We start from the raw sequence: 19,427 nt of genomic DNA on the forward strand, positions 1-19,427 counted from the left end.
GCTATTAATAGTTTGGCATTATTTCTTACAGTTTTTTTAAAAAGATCTGTATAGTCATAAAAGTTATGTTATTTATGAAAATAAGAATGATAATGTTTTGTTTTGCAGGAAAAGTCAACACTAATAATATGCTCTAGAGAAACTAACGCTTACTTAGATGTTTTTAACATTATAGTAAACTAATATGCCGAGCTTCAAAATGACCCAACATATAACTTGTAGCTGGGATATTTTGGTGCATTTGGCATTATACTGTAATTTACAGTATACAACATCTGAGGACTTTTAGCAGTATCTTGGCACAACAGACTGACTCCTCCCATCCCATCAGAGGTGGAGGGAGGAACTCTTTTCTCCCCATAAATTCTTGATTTTTAATTAATTAATTAACTAGTTTTTCTAGTTTTCATCTCCTCTCTTAATATTGGACTTTGATATTTACCTTTTTTATTCATTTAATTTATTTTTTAAAAATGTTTTGGCCAGATGTGGTGGCTCACGCCTGTAATCCCAGCACTTTGGGAGGCCAAGGCAGGTGGATCACAAGGTCAGGAGATTGAGGCCATCCTGGCTAACACGGTGAAACGCCGTCTCTACTAAAAAATACAAAAAATTAGCTGGGCATGGTGGTGAGTGCTTGTAGTCCCAGCTACTCGGGAGGCTGAGGCAGGAGAATGGCATGAACCCGGGAGGCAGAGCTTGCAGTGAGCCGAGATGGCACCATTGCACACATTGGTCTCTGTGTCTTTTTTCATGCAAGTCCCATGCTGTTTTGGTTACTGTAGCTCTGTGGTATAATTTGAAGTCAGTAATGTGATTGCTCCAGTTTTGTTTTTTTTTTTTTTTGCTCAGAATGGCTTTGACTATTCTGAGTCTATTGTGATTTCATATAAATTTTAACATGTTTTTTCTATTTCTGTGAAGAATGTCATTGGTATTTTGGTAGGGATTACATTGAATCTGTAGATTGCTTTGGGTAGTCTGGACATTTAAATGATATTGATTCTTCCAATCCATGAACATGAAATATATTTGTATTTTTTGGCATCCTTTTCAGTTTTTTCATTGGCATTTTATAGTTTTTATTATAGAGATCTTTCACTTCTTTGGTTAAGTTAATTTGTATGTATTTAATTTTATTTGTAGCTATTATAAATGGGATTACTTTTTTGATTTCCTTTTTAAATTGTTCACTGTTGGCATATAGAAATGCTACTGATTTTTGTATGTTTATTTTGTATCCTGAAACTTTATTGAATTTATCAGTTCTAGTGGTTTTTTTAGTGGAGACTTCAGTTTTTTCCAAGCATAAGATCGTATCATCTGCAAGCAAGTTTAATGTGACTTCTTCCTTTTCAGTATGAATGCCCTTTATTTTTACTTTTTTAAAAAATACTTTTATTCTAAGTTCTGTGGTACATGTGCAGATTGTTACATAGGTAAATGTGTGTCATGGGGGTTTGTTGTACAGATTATTTAATCATCCAGGTATTAAGTCTAGTACCCTTTAATTACTTTTCCTGATCCTCTGCCTCCTCTCACCCTCAGCCATCCGATAGACCCTAGTGTGTATTGTTCCCCTCTGTGTGCCCATGTGTTCTCACCATTCAGCTCCCACTTACAAGTGAGAACATGCACTATTCAGTTTTCTGTTCCTGCGTTAGTTTGCTAAGGATGATGGTCTCCATCTCCATCCATGTCCCTGCAAAGGACATGATCTCATTTTTTTTATGGCTACATATTATTCCATTGTGTGTATGTGCCACATTTTCTTTATCCAGTCTATCATTGATGGGCATTTAGGTTGATTTCATGTCTTTGCTATTGTGAATCGTTTTGCAGTGAACATCCGTGTGCATGTGTCTTTATAATAGAACAATTTATATTTCTTTGGGTATACCCAGTAATGGGATTGCTGGGTCAAATGGTATTTCTGTCTTTAGGTCTTTGAGGAATCGCCACACTGTCTTCCACAAAGGCAGAACTAACTTACACTCCCACCAACAGTGTATAAGCATTTCTTTTTCTCCACAACCTTGCCAGCATGTGTTATTTTTGACTTTTTAATAATAGCCATTCTGACTGGTGTGAAATGGTATCTCATTGTGGTTTTGATTTGCATTTCTCTAATGATCAGTGTTGTTGAGGTTTCTTTCATTGATTCTTGGCCCCATGTATGTCTTTTTTTGAGAGATGTTCGTTCATGTCCTTTGCCCACTTTTTAATGGGGTTGTTTTTCTCTTGTAAATTTATTTAAGTTCCTTATAGATGCTGGATATTAGACTTTTGTCAGATGCATAAATTGCAAAAATGTTCTCCCATTCTGTAAATTGTCTGTTTACTCTGTTGATAGTGTTTTGTTGTTGTTGTTTTTGCTGTGCCAGAAGCTCTTTAGTTTAATTAGATACCATTTATCAATTTTTGCTTCTGTTGCAGTTGCTTTTGGCATCTTCATCATGAAATATTTGTGCCGATGTCTCGAATGGTATTGCTGAGGTTGTTTTCAAGGATTTTTATAGTTTTGGGTTTTACATTTAAGTCAATAATCTATCTTGAGTTGATTTTTGTGCATGGTGTAAGGAAGGGGTCCAGTTTTAATCTTCTGCATATGGCTAGCCAGTTATCCCAGTGCCATTTATTGAATAGGGAATCGTTTCCCCATTGCTTGTTTTTGTCAGGTTTGTTGCAGATAGTTGTAGATGTGTGGTCTTATTCTTGGGTTCTCTATTCTGTTCCATTGGTCTATGTGTCTGTTCTTATATCAGTGCCATGCTGTCTTGGTTACCATAGCCCTGTAGTATAGTTTGAAGTAATGTAGCATGATGTCTCCAGCTTTGTTTCTTTTTGCTTAGGATTGCCTTGGCTATTCAAGCTTTTCTGGGGTTCCATATGAATTTTAAAATAGTTTTTTTGTAGTTCTTTGAAGAATGTCAATGGTAGTTTAATAGAAATAGCATTGAATATGTAAATTGCACTGGGCAGTTTGGCCATTTTCACAATATTGCTTCTTCCTGTATATGAGCATGGAATGTTTTTCATTTGTTTTTTCATCTCTGATTTCTTTGAGCAGTGGTTTGTAGTTCTCCTTGTAGAGATCTTTCATTTCCCTAGTTAGCTGTATTCCTAGGTTGAATGTCCTTTATTTCTTTCTCTTGTATGACTGCTTTAGCTAGAACTTTCAGTACTTTGTTGGTTAACAGTGGTGACAGTGGGCATCCTTGTTTTGTTCTAGATCTTAGAGGAAAGACTTTCAGTTTTTCCCCATTCAGTATGATACTAGCTGTGGGTCTGTCATATTTGGCTTTTGTTATATTGAGGTATATTTCTTCTATCCCCATTTTTTGAGGGTTTTTATTATGAAGGAATGATGAAGTTTATTGAGTGCTTTTTCAGCATTAATTGAAATGCTCATATGGTTTTTGTACTTCATTCTGTTGATATGATGGATCACATTGATTTATTTGCATATGTCAAACCATTCTTACATCCCAGGGATAAATCCCATTTGGTCATGATGAATGATTCTTTTAATGTATTGTTGAATTCATGTTTGCTTGTATTTTGTTGCCAATTTTGGATCAGTGTACATCACTGATATTGGCCTACAGTTTCCCTTTTTTGATATGTCTTTTGGTATCAGGGTAATACTGACCTTCTAGAGTAAGTCTGGAAGTATTCCCTCTTCCTCTGTTTTTCAGAATAGTTTGAGTAGGATTGGTATTAGTTCTTTAAATATTTGATAGAGTTCAACAGTGAAGCCATCAAGTCTCAAGTTATTCTTTACTTAGAGGCTTTATTACGACTTCGATCTTGTTACTTATTATTGTTCTGTTCAGCTTTTGGATTTCCTTTTTTTTTTTTTTTTTTTTTTTTTTTTTGAGACGGAGTCTCGCTCTGTCGCCCAGGCTGGAGTGCAGTGGCGGGATCTCGGCTCACTGCAAGCTCCGCCTCCCGGGTTCACGCCATTCTCCTGCCTCAGCCTCCCAAGTAGCTGGGACTACAGGCGCCCGCCACTACGCCCGGCTAATTTTTTGTATTTTTAGTAGAGACGGGGTTTCACCGTTTTAGCCGGGATGGTCTCGATCTCCTGACCTCGTGATCCACCCGCCTCGGCCTCCCAAAGTGCTGGGATTACAGGCGTGAGCCACCGCGCCCGGCCTGGATTTCTTCATGGTTCAATGTTGGTAGGTTGTATATGTCTAGGAATTTATTAATTTCTTCTAGATTTTTCCATTTATTGGCATATGGTTGCTCATAGTAGCCACAAATGATCCTTTGAATTTCTTCAGTATCCATTGTAATGTCTCTTTTTTATCTCCAATTTTATTTATTTTGGATTGTGCTGGGTCACCCCTGAAACGAGCATGTCTCAGAGCCCAAGGTCAATGGTGTACTCCATGGGTATCAGTGGTGGTTGTTCAGGGCCCAAGAGTTCTTTAGTTGGCAGATGATAAATGCTTCCAGGACTGGGTTCTTCCCTCAAGGCAGTGGGATCCTTTTCGGCCCAGGGTGTGTCTAGAAATGTTATCCAGGAGCTGGGGCCTGGAATTGAGGCCTCACGACTCTGCCCATTACCTTATTCTACTGTGAGTGACCTGGTGTCCAAGATGCAAGACAGAGTCCTCTTTACTCTTTGCTGTCCTCTCCTTAAGCAGAAAGAAGGAGACACTTTCATGCTGGGAGCTTCACTGCCTGGAGTTGGGGGAGTGGTGACGCAAGCACTCCCTTAACCATGCTAGCTGGTGACTTCGTCCTTTGTTATATGTGAGAGTGACTCTTTGTTTTCTCAGGATCCCAAAGTGCTCATTCAAAGCCATCTCTGTCTGTTTTCCAACACTGTTTATGTCAAATTGTAGGAGAACACCCGTTGGAACTTTCTTTACATTCTCTTGCTGCCGTGTTTTAAAGAATGAAGGTACAGCAGTATGAATTAATCATGGTTTCTCAGTTGCTGGGCACCTGCCACCCTATTTCACTAGCTCTAAGCCAAGGCTAGTGCTAGGAGTTGCCTAGGAATTGCAGTCTTTGCATTCTAGATGCCTTTCAAGTTTACCTAGGATCCCAGAGCATTTCAGCCCGCAGTGTTGAGGCTTGCTGAGCAACTCAAGTTCCATCTGCTGCGATGGATGTTTCCCTGCTGGCTAGGGCTGGTCCAAATGCTCCCTCTGTGTGTGGGAGCTAGCTGAACCTAGGATGGCTCTATCCTCCGCTGTGACAGGGCAGCAGTGAATTCAATGTGAAGTCCCCCAGTTGCTGTGTTCCTTATCCCCAAAGTGTACAAATTGCCTTTCTGCACCACACGGTGGCTGCTGAGGGATGTGGGTGGGGTGGTATCAGCAACTCATGACTGTCTCTCCATCCTTCCTCAATGCCTCTTTTGGTAATACAAAGTTAAAACCATGCGCTGTGATTGCTCACCTGATGTTTGGTTCTTATGACAGTGTTTTTCTTTGTGCAGATGGTTGTTAAAATTTGGTGTTCCAGGGAGTGTGGGGGTGTGATTGGTGTAGGCTTCTATTCTGCCATCTTACTCTGCCCTCTGAACTTTAATTTATACCATACCAGAAATCAGAGTGAAGGTAAACAACAAGGTTACAATGTAACTCTATTATAAATTTTGATTTTTTTTTGGTGACAAATACCAGTATATTTTTGTCTTTGGATCTATAAATTATTTAATTTAGCAAACTCTAAAGCTTATAAAATTTAACTTCTCAAGAAGTCTAGCACTTTATGGCTATTAATTTTACTATCAAAATATCCAGGTTACTGAATTCATTTTAATAATTATAATTCTTCTAAACATCATTTGAAGAATTATTTGTGGACACTAGACTCAAGACTACACTAAATCCAAACAGTATACCTAGGACCTGAGTTTTGAGTTTTTCATCTCAGTTATCTGTCCTTCAAGTTACTACTTCCTCTTATGCTTTCTTTTACTAACCAAATTTTCAGATTTTTACATTGGACCTTCTCCTCCAAGGCCCTATGGGACAACTTTGTAAATATGCATTTACAGCCTTTAAACACCAACATTTTAAACTGAGACTAATTCCTGCAACCACATTTCTTGTTAAAAGTTCAGCACTAGGCTGGGCACGGTGGCTCATGCCTGTAATCCCAGCACTTTGGGAGGCTGAGGTGGACAGATCACTTGAGGTCAGGAGTTTGAGACCCACCTGGCCAAAATGGTGAAACCTCATCTCTACTAAAAATATAAAAAAAAAATTAGCCGGGTTTGGTGGCGGGCCCCTGTAGTCCCAGCTACTTCGGAGGCTGAGACAGGAGAATCACTTGAACCCAGAAGGTGAAGGTTGCAGTGAGCCGAGATGGTGCCACTGCACTCCAGCCTGGGTGACAGAGCCAGACTCCGTCTCCAGGAAAAAAAAAAAAAAAAAAAAAAAAAAAAAGAAGTTTAGCACTAACAGTATCTTTCTGCCATTTTCTTCTGCTCAAGGAACTAAAGAAGTCAAACAGATAATGGTTCTGCCTGAGCCATTTGTGAAGTCTAAGAACAGTTACGTATACTCCCTGTTATTCTTTCAGGGCATTATTTTATCCTTTTTTTTAAACCTTGAAAAATAGGTGTTACTTAGCCTTATAAAATTTTGAAGTAAAGTTTCTGAATTTCTGTGAAGAACTCTTCAAGCAATTCAGCTTTTCAAACACAGTCGTCACACAATAGTCCCTGTAACATGGGATTTATTCCACAGTTAAAAAGTGACTTCCTCCTTTGTTATATGTGAGAGTGGCTGTTTGTTTTCTCAGGATCCCAAAGTGCTCATTCAAAGCCATCTCTGTCTGTTTTCCAACACTATTTATGTCAAATTGTAGGGGAACACCCGTTGGAACTTTCTTTACATTCTCTTGCTGCCGTGTTTTAAAGAATGAAGGTATAGCAGTATGAATTAATCATGGTTTCTCAGTTGCTGGGCATTGTACTGCTCCAGGGTTATCAATAGATACAGTCAGATTCCTGCGTTTGTGATAGATGTCTGGCATTGACTAGTTCTCTTTGCTACTACATCTAGCAGTTGTTCCGTGTTCAACTGGGCCTGAACCTTCTTCAGGCCTCTTCCGAAAAGAAAAGTTACCTGTGAAGTGTCTTTCTGATGGCTTAATTTATTTCCTCTCCTGGTAAAACTGGACATAATGTTATTTTTTCTGTTTAGCTGGTTAGGTCTCTTGAGAACTGCAACTGGTTTCCTATGCACTTCATTTTGTTTCAGAAGGCTTGCCTTTCTTTTTAACACTGGAAAATAGTGTTCTGTATTCTTGTCACTTAGACGTGGACAATACATACATAGGACTAATTCCTTTTCCAATTCCAGATGATTTTCTAACTGCAAGTCCAGTGATTATCCATAAGGATGTCTCTTTCCAGGCATTACTCTTCCTCTGCAGCTTAGACTGGTTTTACCAAAACCAGAATTCTGTTGGAGTACCCATTGTATTCTCATCCTAAATTGCTGGAGTCTTCTGTTTAGTTTTGGAAAATTCTGCTTTTTTCCTTTCTTTCAATTCAGTTTGATGACACCAGCCAAAGACATACCAATTTTGTCAAGGTGTTTGTTGCTGCGAGCTTTCAGCAGCTGTGACAAGGTCACTGTGGCTTCTACCAACTGGGTACCAAACTGGTTCATGGCTGGAAATGTGGTGCTAGAACAGTCAGTGCGGAAGGCCAGAGTTGGAGGCCTGCCATCTCTCATGCACACACGCAAGCAGACTGCCGGGCAGCATCCTTGTCCTCCCACCCGTGGTTGCCAGCATAGACCAATTTATCCCATTCCTTTAAATTACTTGATAGTGTTCTCTGGAATACTCTTGAATATACCATAATTTAGTTAGTAAAACATATTGATGGATTGCTGATAGTTCAGTTTCTTACTATTACAAGCAGTGATACACTAAGAATCCTGTTACAAATATGTCTTTCGAGTATGTGTTTCTGGAGAATAAATTTGATCAAATGATATATTAACTTAGCATCTTAATAAATTCAAAAAGATTGTTCTTATTTAAACATCAGCCTTCTTACCTGTTTCCTTATGCTTTTAGGAAAACTAGGTATTATCAATTTTTATACTCTCTGTCAATGTAATTGGTAGATACGTTTCATTGTTTTAATTTGCATTTAAAAGATTCATGAAATGGGGTTTTCTATAACATTTTTATTTTAGTCATGTTTTACATATTGTGACCTGTACTGTGTCGATATCCTTAGCTCAGTTTTCTATTGGATTTTTCTTTATTCTATTGATTAGTAAGATTGTGGTATATTAGTGAAAATAGCCATTTGTCAAATGTTGGAAATTTTTTTGCTTTTAAAAAATATACATACTCTATACCGTCATAGATTTTTTAAAATTATAGGTAGTCAGATTTTTAAATCTTTTTAATGGTAACTTGATTTTGTTCTTATGCTTAGGAATTCCTTTCCCTACAAGAGTATTATGAATTTGAAAGATTTTCTGTCATCAGTATTATTGTCTAATTTTTATTATAATCAAGATTTATAATATCTAGGAATGTTTATTTCCTTTTCTCTTTTTTGTTTTCATTGTGTTCCTAGATTTTGGTCTCTAATTTGGCATGTACAACATAATCAAATAGCCTGAAACCTTGGCACATTATTAGTTACTGTGGATCAGAATAGAGTATTAGATGGGATGATCTTGGATCCTGCTTAATTGAATACCAATTTATAAGTACCTATACTTGGTACCAATTTATAAGTGGGCCAACTATCAGTCCTTGTTTGCGTGACATAGTCTAAGTTTAACCTGTCTTCCAGAATAATTTTTTTTTTTGAGATGAGGTCTCACTCTGTCACTCAGGCTGGAGTGCAGTGGCACAATCTTGGCTCACTGCAACTGTGGCCTCCCAGGCTCAAGTGATCCTCCCATCTCAGCCTCCTGAGTAGCTGGGACTATAGGAGTACGCCACCATGCCCAGCTAATTTTTTGTAATTTTGATAGAAACAGGGTTTTACCATGTTGCCCAGGCTGGTCTCAAACCCCTGAGCTCAGGCCCTCCTTGGCCTCCCAAAGTGCTGGGATTACAGGCCTGAGCCACTGCACTTGACCAAGAATAATTTTTAATAGTCCTCTTTCACTATAAAAAGTGCCTCAGTTTAAATAAAAAATTATAAATGTTATAAAAGATAGTTGTTTACATGGGATAGTTCCTCAGGGTATTGTAACACTAAAGCTTTAGTTGTTTCTATTTATATCATTCAGTTGTTTCTATTTACATTACTTCTATAGTAGTAATATTTCATTTGCTTTAACTTTTAAAATATCTGTTATTTTCATGATGAACTTATTACAAGCTTCATACAGTTGCTTATGTGAGGTATTTCTAGAACAGTCATGCTAGTGTGTACTCTCTTTGCCTTCATTTTAATTAACAGAATGATGTTCACTTTTTGCATTAAATGTCCCTTATAATTCTTATTTACCTAGTATTGCTTTAAAGATGATGAAACATTTGTCTCTGTATGTGGACATATTTTGGTTATATTTTACTAAATGTGTCATCAAATCTTTTTTGTATGGCTGTGACCTAATGTTTTAACCTGGCCAAATAAACCATTACTTATTACATTAATGTTTTCTGATGTTGCATATACTTGGATCATTGGATTTTGTGGTATGCTAAGTAATACTACTGTTCTTAACACAGATCCCCGTGGGAGCCACTAAATGCCAATCCCTCTTATACTGTCACAGTGTTGATAAAACTTTGGTACTTGTTATCTGCCAGATAGATTTTCAGCTATCTTATTTTATTCCGATAGTACTTCTCCAGCCTTTTCTTATGTAGTACTGTGTCAAAGACTATTTTATAATAGGTACATTGTGTCTATTGTTCTTTCTTTCCTTTCTCTACTACCTCTGCTACTGCTTAAAAGGTTTATAGAGTTTAGTATTGGTCGTTTTCACCACCGATTATAAACTGTAAATCAACCCATATTGTTTCTTAAACTATTATTTTACATTTTGAGGTGTTTGTAAAATTGCCATATAAAAAGGCCAGTTTCAATTTTCCTTTAGTTAAAAATACCTTTTTTTTTTTTTTTTTTTTTTTTACAAATACATCTTAAGAAACCTAACTTTTTTTTTTTTTTTTTACATTTCCGGTTGTTTGTGTGTTTATATCATAATATGTATGTTTCTCAGTGTTATATTTAGGTATATATGTTTGGCCCTTAATTTTTATGTTTGTTGGTCCCATTAATAAAATTTGAGAATATCTGGTGAGTAGAACACCATATGGGAATTTCCAGTTGTGCTACCATTAGCCTTTAAACATTAGTCTTTGGATACAGCTATTTATTTATATTTTCAATTTCATGTTATGTAAACTGTATATGAGATTTTCATAAAAGTTTGTTCTTTTAAAATATCTAGGCACTGAAGATAAATTAATGAAATTCTTACTGTTATTTTTGCAATGCATGTAATAATATGAAGAGAAGCTGGTTTTATTAGACATGGAGTCATGTTTATTGTATGATATATAAAGTATCTACTGTAATATATAAAATAATGTTTGTTGGTTTTTGCGTTTCTTCTGCAGAGAGTGATAATGAACTCTCAAGTGGAACAGGTGATGTGTCTAAGGATTGTCCTGAGAAGATCCTGTATTCTTGGGGAGAGTTGCTAGGAAAATGGTAAAATTTTATTTTTCATACTGAAAATTCTATATTTACATAGTTGATGTTAATTTGTTGTATTAAAATCTGTGTGTTAAAATAGGTTTTAAAGGATTAATATTAAAATCTATCTTAATATCTTAATATTGTTTAAAAACTTAAAAATTAAAATATAATTTATAGATACTCTTTATGTTTGGCTAGGTCTTCCCCCCAAGTATGGTTTTATTTAACTTGCTTTTAGAAGATGTCTTTGTCTTATTATTTCACTCAGACCGTATTATTTGTCTTATTATTTCACATCATTTAGCACAGTCAATTTTATGCTATATTGCCAATGCATTTAAATGTCTACTGTTAAAGGGTTATGTTTTTTTAAAACCAAGTCTATTACCACTAAAATGGGCTGTATAGTTTAGAATTTCTCATTTTACGCTGATTGTTAACTGACACAGCTTGTTTCATTCTTTCTGACTAAAAGTATTACTTTAAATTTTGGCGTATTTTATGTGGAATTACAAAAAAAGTACTCTGTTTATATTTATTATATTAAGTACTTTTTATATTTATGATACATTTTTTAAAATGGTAATTATGACTATCATATGTTGGTGTAATGAAAAAATCCTGCCAACAAAATACTTCCCCATATTAGTATAGACATAGAAATTCAATTTATTGTTGAATATGCACTCAGATTACATGCATGCGGGTAGTCCAGGGGAGACTACAAAGTCTGGGCGGAATTTCACAGTTCAGTAGAAGAAAGAATAATTTAAACCTCTTTTATCCTTTCAAGAGAAAAGTGGATGCTCCTTATGATAGTCTGTATGCATCTTGAGAGTTTCCTTAGTTGTAATTTAGGAAATATGTATTTACAGTTCCAACGGTTGGAATACTGATGATTTTTCATTGTAAAATCTGGAGATTAGGTTTATCAAATTTGGACCAAAGTATTGGGCCTGTTATTGTTTTTAAGGAGATAAACCCTGAATGGCCAGCTGCTTCTCCTTTTTAAGCAAAGAAAATTTCATTTTATGTATCCTTACACATATCACATAAAATGAACACATTTCAGAGAACTTATTTAACTCATTAATGAATGTCAACATAAAATAATCAAAAGGGTCAGAATCTAATTTAAAGGTAATTTATTCAATAGCAAAATATGAGCATGGACCACCCAGAAACACCACCTCTAAAGGAATGCAGTCAGTGGTCCAAAGTAGGGAAGTTAAGATTTCATTTATATAGGCAGAGGCACAGGAGTTTTTAGCAGGATTATGACATTATTCATACAGGGCTGGTGCATAGTTACAGCAGTTTGGTTGGTTATAGGCAGTGCTTTTTTCGGCGGGGGGATGTTAAAAATTTTTTTTAACTTTTTTTATAGAGGGTACAATAATCGTAGGTTTTCTGTTATCTGGTCTAAGTGAAGCAGAATGACAAAAGGGATGTTAACCTATAACAAGGGTCATTAATGAAGAAGGCAGGAGGTTTTGGTCCTTGACATCATTTAATTCTCTCTAGTTATCGTACAAAACAAGAAAAATGTGATTTAATGTATAATCCAAGAACAGAAGTTGTAACCATATGTGACTCAGATAACAGTCACGTCTCTCTCAAGACTTAAAGTGTTGTTGTTTTTTTTTATTCCAACAGCTTTTAGGTTTTATTTTCACATGGAGCACCAATAAGGTATTAGAGCCAATCAAAATAAGGATTTGATTTAGAGATTTATTTTCTTTACCTGGCAATTCATTTGCACTACCATGAATGGGAGTCATTTGCATAGCTATGGACAGTAAACTTTGCATTGCCATTATGTTATATATGTTGAGAGTTGTAAACTAGCCTAGTCAAAGACAAAGGCACACACTTCTATGTTGTCACCCAATTCCCAGATGTTCCAGCCATTCTATTGAAATGATGTTCAGTTATCATTTTGTCCATTTCAAAAATCTTACACAATTTTACCCCACATTATATCCAGAATCTAACTTACTCATTTGCAAGCATTGTCCACCTAAATGTACCTCATATGTTTTTATCTGTTTTATTTAGGGTTACTCTCTTCCTTTAAGATGAACAGTTCTCTTTTTAGATGGTCCTGAGTTAGGACAGTTTCAATGTGGGATGGAGAGCGGCAGGAAGTGAGATGGGAGAGTGTGTTCTAGTTAGAGGCAGATGACTTTTTCAGTCTCAGACCAGGCTGGGAAACAGGAAGCATGCTAAACTTTTTAAACAGAAGCATTTTAATGCAGATAATTGGCTTACAATGTGTTAGAAGGTTGAGAGAGCAGAAAGGAGATATTATGATTGGAGTAACCCAAGTAGTAGGAAACAGCTATGGCCTATGGGACTGGAGAAATAAAATGAAAGAAGTATTGTTACCAGAGTCTAGGAACTCAGAGGAGGTCTGAGGAGCTGATGCAGGGATCTCTGAAGAGGGCTGCATCCTGGTTGCTTAGAATTATGAGGATCCTCATAGCAGCTAGTGTTTAGAAAGAACTGTCAGGGCAGGGGACAACTGTTTAGTTCCACACTTCTGAAGAGATACCCAGATCTTGGAGCAGGTGGGGAGGACCACATCATTGGTGCTGGTACTTGTTAGCCTGGCTAGTATTAGTATTTTTCAGGAGTTAACGATATAGCTGGTGCTGGCAATGGAATTCCTTCTTCCATTCTTCTGCCTTCCAACTGTACATCACTATTACTCATGGGCAGAACCTAACCTGAAAGCCAGTGGGCAAGGGAGTTTGGGATATGTAGTCTGCAGATTCTCAGCCCTTACATCTTTGAGCAGAATACAGAAGGGTGGACTTGTAGCTGATAGGCAGTGGGTAAATGACTACAAAAGGGTAAAAGCTGGGCCTAATTCTCATTTACCCATTTATCTGGTCCAATTGAATTAGGCTTTCCTGATACCCAATGTTTTTAGATAGAGATTTATTTATTAGGAGCACTGATAAGAAAAAAAACAGCACCAACAACTTGTCCTAATCTTCTTCATCTTTGGTCTGAAAGTGTACTTTTATGGTCCAACCATGTGGATGTGATTGATAGTATTGGATGTAATGGTAGCGTATGCATTGATACCACAGCTTGGCTGCTACTGTTACGTGGTTTCTTCCTTTCCCACTTCAAGTTATTTGCTGGGGGAAGGCTTAGGAATTTACATGGACCTCCATGCATCATAGAAATAAGCAACGTGTCTCCTGCGGCAGCTCTACTCTCTGGACAGAGTTTATTTGTCCCTGATTCTCTGGTGAAGAACAGGGGCATAGTCTTCCGTTGTGGCCACTTCATAAAACAAGGACTCCCTTCTTACTGGCTCTCACATTACTGAGAATTGGGTGCTTACTTTTTACGGGCCCAACACATTCTTTCTAGTATAGCAAAATACACAACACCTAAAACTAATACCTTATACTCCAATTGAAATTAATCAGCAAAACAGCTCCTAGATATCAATATATAGGTATTGTAGAAACTAATTTTCTTTGGATAAGGTGTTTCTTCTTGTCCGTAATTTACTCCCAAAGGCAAAATAATTTCAACTTGATAAGATCTATCGGAGGGGAATATAATTTAATGGGAAAAATACATTACGCTTAAACTCAGAACTGAATTAGACTTCCAGTTGTAGTGCTAACTTGATAGGTAGCTTGCACAAGTTATTTAACATTTTTAGGTTCCATTTTTCCAGTGAAGCTTTTATAAACCTGCTCATGTATGCATGCTTTGTCTTTCAGAAGTGGAATAATGTTTGCAAAGTTTTTTTGTGTGTTTTGTTTTTCTTTTTCCTAGCCCTTAGATTGAGAAAATACCTTAATTTTTATTGTCTTTTTATGGTTTGGGATTATATCACCATTCTTGAGGAATTTACAATAACAGTCTGGGCTGTTTCATTTAAGAGAATATGTACAAACATCTCACTTTCTTGATTCTTAGATGAAATTTAGTTAAAAGTCGACATGCTTATTGGGAGATATGGCAAGGTGAGAATGTTTGGGAAAGGAAGTAGAGACAGACATTGGATTTTTGTCAGTCAAGTTTCTTTTGATTTTAAATTATTTATTCATTACATTTTCTACATGGCAGTTAATATTCTAAAACTATAAACAAAATTTAATATAGAAAAAATATTATGCTTTTCTTTTTTGCCTTTGCATGCTCTTATTTCAAAATAGATTTAAAATTCATGGCATATTATACTAGAAAACAAGTCTGTCAATGATCTAAGCTTCTATCTTTAGATACTAGGAAAAAAGAGAAAAACCCAAAGCAAGCAGAAGCAAGGAAATAAGAACAGAAATAAATGGAATTGAGAAGAACACTTCAGAAAATCAGTCAAACTGAAGCTGATTTTTATAAAGATTAATATGTTTGATAAAGATAACCATCTAACTAGACTGACCAAGAAAAACAAGGGAGAGAGAGAACACAGATACAAGAATCAAAGAGGCTACATCATTACAAATCACTACAGACATTACAAGGATATAAAATAATATTATAAGCAACTCACTGTCTATAAATTTAGAAGCTTAGGTGAAATCGACAAACACTTGAAAGTCATAAATTGCCAAAGCTTACTTGAAATAAATAACCTGAATACTCCTGTATTAGTTGACAAAATTGAATTCATAGTTTAAAAGTTTTCAATAGAGAAAATTTGAGGCCAAAATGGCAAATTCTACCAAATATTTAAGAAAAAAATAATAAGACTGGGCACAGTGGCTCATGCCTGTAATCCCAGCACTTCAGGAGGCTGAGGCGAGCCGATCACTTGAGGTAATGAGTTTGAGACCAGCCTAGCCAACATAATGAAACCCTATCTCTACTAAAAATATCAAAAAAATTAGCCAGGCATGGTGGTGTGCACCTGTAATCTCAGCTACCCGGGAGGCTGAGGCACAAGAATTGCCTGAGCCTAGGAGGCAGAGGTTGCAGTGAGCTCAGATTGTACCACTGCACTCCAGCCAGTGACAGAGCAAGACTCTGTCAGAAAATAAAGTAGAGTAAAGTAAAGTAAAGAAAAGGAAAGAAGGAAGGAGAGAAAGACAGAGAGAGATAGAGAAAGAGAGAAGGAAGGAGAGAGAGAAAGAAAAAGAAAGAAGGAAAGAAAGTGAAGGAAAGAAAGGAAGAAAGAAAGAGAAGGAAGGAAGGAAAGGAAAGAAGGAAGGAAGGAAGGGAAAGAAGGAAGGAAGGAAAAAATATATAAATTCTACATAAACTTTCCAGAATATATAAGTGAAGGCAATACTTTCCAGCTAATTTATGTCATTTGCTTACCATGATATCAAAACCGGATGAAAATATTACAGAAAAGAAAATTGCAGACGAGTGTCCCTCATGGATATAGACTAAAAAAGCCTCAACAAGTCCTAGCATATCAAATCCAACAATATATAAATTTGAAAGGATAATGTTGCATGACTACGTGGGACGTATTTTGGGAATGCAAGGCTGCTTTGACATTTGAAAATAAATCAGTGTTATTCACTTATATCAATAGGCTAAAGAAGAAAAACCATATAATCATTTCAATAGATGCAGAAAAAGCATTTGACCCAATTCAGCATTCATTCTTGATTTAAAAAAACCAAAAAACAAAAAAACCTCTGAGCAAGCTAGGAATACAAGGGACCTTTCTTAACCTGATAAAAGGTACCTATGAAAAACCTGCAGCTAACATCTAACTTAAGAATGACAGATCCCAAAACTGGGAATAAGGTAGGGATATCTACTCTCATGACTCTTACTCAACTTAGTACTAGAGGTCTTAGCAAGTGTAACAGGCAAGAAAAAGAAATAAAAGGCAAACAAGATTGGAAAGAAAAATATAACACTGTCTCTATTTGCAGAGATGTGATTGTCTGTGTAGAAAACCCCAAGGAATCTACAAAACAAACAAACAAAACTCCTAGATCTAATAAATGAGTTTTACAATGTTAAAAGATACAAGATCAATATGTGCACATCAGTTTCATTTCTATACACTGGCAGTGAAAAATTGGAAATAGAAATTTTGAAACAAAAAAGCACCATAAAGGAAAACCATGAAATATATAGAAATCGAACAAATTGTGAGCTAAATATATACTTTGACATACTAGAAAACAGTAATCAAAGACATCAAAGAAGACAGAAATAAATGAAGATATATGCTATGTTCATGGAATGAAAAAATCTCAATATTATTAAGATTTCAGTCATTCCCAAACTAATCTTAAAATTAGTGCATTTCCAATAAAAATCTCAGCAGATTTTTTGGTAGCAACCAACAAGCTGATTTTAAAATTTATATAGGAAGCAGAGTAACTAGAATAGCCAAAACAATTTTGAAAGTGAAGAACACAATGGAAAGGCATATTACCTGATTTCTAGGTTTACTGTAGCACTACAGTAGTCAAAAGAGTATTGATACAAGGATAGACACTGAGATTAGTGGCATAGAAAAGAGAGTTCAGAAATAGAGCCACGCAATCTAAACAGACATTTTCTAAAGAAGACATACAAATGGCCAAGTAGCACATAAAAAGATGCTCAATATCATTAACCATCAGGGAAATGCCAATCAAAGCTACAGTGAGATACCACTTCATACCCACTACGATGTCAATCATTACAAAGACAGATAATAACAAGTGTTGGCAAGAATGTGGAGACATTGAAAGCGTAGCATAGCAACTGCAACTCTTTTTTTTTTTTTTAAGATTTTATTATTATTATTTTTTATTATACTTTAAGTTTTAGGGTACATGTGCACATTGTGCAGGTTAGTTACATATGTATACATGTGCCATGCTGGTGCGCTGCACCCACTAACTCATCATCTAGCATTAGGTATATCTCCCAATGCTATCCCTCCCCCCTCCCCCCACCCCACAACAGTCCCCAGAGTGTGATATTCCCCTTCCTGTGTCCATGTGATCTCATTGTTCAATTCTCACCTATGAGTGAGAATATGCGGTGTTTGGTTTTTTGTTCTTGCGATAGTTTACTGAGAATGATGATTTCCAATTTCATCCATGTCCCTACAAAGGACATGAACTCATCATTTTTTACGGCTGCATAGTATTCCATGGTGTATATGTGCCACATTTTCTTAATCCAGTCTATCATTGTTGGACATTTGGGTTGGTTCCAAGTCTTTGCTATTGTGAATAATGCCGCAATAAACATACGTGTGTATGTGTCTTTATAGCAGCATGATTTATAGTCCTTTGGGTATATACCGAGTAATGGGATGGCTGGGTCAAATGGTATTTCTAGTTCTAGATCCCTGAGGAATCGCCACACTGACTTCCACAATGGTTGAACTAGTTTACAGTCCCACCAACAGTGTAAAAGTGTTCCTATTTCTCCACATCCTCTCCAGCACCTGTTGTTTCCTGACTTTTTAATGATTGCCATTCTGACTGGTGTGAGATGGTATCTCATTGTGGTTTTGATTTGCATTTCTCTGATGGCCAGTGATGATGAGCATTTTTTCATGTGTTTTTTGGCTGCATAAATGTCTTCTCTTGAGAAGTGTCTGTTCATGTCCTTCGCCCACTTTTTGATGGGATTGTTTGTTTTTTTCTTGTAAATTTGTTTGAGTTCATTGTAGATTCTGGATATCAGTCCTTTGTCAGATGAGTAGGTTGCGAAAATTTTCTCCCATTTTGTAGGTTGCCTGTTCACTCTGATGGTAGTTTCTTTTGCTGTGCAGAAGCTCTTTAGTTTAATTAGATCCCATTTGTCAATTTTGGCTTTTGTTGCCATTGCTTTTGGTGTTTTGGACATGAAGTCCTTGCCCATGCCTATGTCCTGAATGGTAATGCCTAGGTTTTCTTCTAGGGTTTTTATGGTTTTAGGTCTAACGTTTAAATCTTTAATCCATCTTGAATTGATTTTTGTATAAGGTGTAAGGAAGGGATCCAGTTTCAGCTTTCTACATATGGCTAGCGAGTTTTCCCAGCACCATTTATTAAATAGGGAACCCTTTCCCCATTGCTTGTTTTTCTCAGGTTTGTCAAAGATCAGATAGTTGTAGATATGCGGCGTTATTTCTGAGGGCTCTGTTCTGTTCCATTGATCTATATCTCTGTTTTGGTACCAGTACCATGCTGTTTTGGGTACTGTAGCCTTGTAGTATAGTTTGAAGTCAGGTAGTGTGATGCCTCCAGCTTTGTTCTTTTGGCTTAGGATTGACTTGGCGATGCGGGCTGTTTTTTGGTTCCATATGAACTTTAAAGTAGTTTTTTCCAATTCTGTGAAGAAAGTCATTGGTAGCTTGATGGGGATGGCATTGAATCTGTAAATTACCTTGGGCAGTATGGCCATTTTCACGATATTGATTCTTCCTACCCATGAGCATGGCATGTTCTTCCATTTGTATGTATCCTCTTTTATTTCCTTGAGCAGTGGTTTGTAGTTCTCCTTGAAGAGGTCCTTCACATCCCTTGTAAGTTGGATTCCTAGGTATTTTATTCTCTTTGAAGCAATTGTGAATGGGAGTTCACTCATGATTTGGCTCTCTGTTTGTCTGTTATTGGTGTATAAGAATGCTTGTGATTTTTGTACATTGATTTTGTATCCTGAGACTTTGCTGAAGTTGCTTATCAGCTTAAGGAGATTTTGGGCTGAGACAATGGGGTTTTCTAGATATACAATCATGTCGTCTGCAAACAGGGACAATTTGACTTCCTCTTTTCCTAATTGAATACCCTTTATTTCCTTCTCCTGCCTAATTGCCCTGGCCAGAACTTCCAACACT

At 36.4% G+C, this 19,427-nt stretch overlaps 1 protein-coding gene and 1 pseudogene across 12 annotated transcripts in view; one reads left to right on the forward strand and one right to left on the reverse strand.

The window, feature by feature from the left end:
* Window positions 1–19,427, forward strand: part of RABGAP1L (RAB GTPase activating protein 1 like) — an 835,789-nt gene that overhangs the window by 200,875 nt on the left and 615,487 nt on the right. For all 12 annotated transcript variants that reach the window (NR_158982.1, XM_011510223.3, XM_047436028.1 and 9 more), the window contains one exon: window positions 10,585–10,678. Coding sequence is in view for 11 of the 12 variants with exons in the window: in XM_011510223.3 (XP_011508525.1) it covers window positions 10,585–10,678 (94 nt within the window). In the remaining variant the exon portion in view is untranslated. The remainder of the gene's footprint in view (window positions 1–10,584; window positions 10,679–19,427) is intronic.
* Window positions 83–7,571, reverse strand: LOC100302291 (forty-two-three domain containing 1 pseudogene; annotated as a pseudogene).

This window comes from Homo sapiens, chromosome 1 (assembly GCF_000001405.40).
Source record: "Homo sapiens chromosome 1, GRCh38.p14 Primary Assembly".
In the NCBI taxonomy this organism is placed as follows: domain Eukaryota; kingdom Metazoa; phylum Chordata; class Mammalia; order Primates; family Hominidae; genus Homo; species Homo sapiens.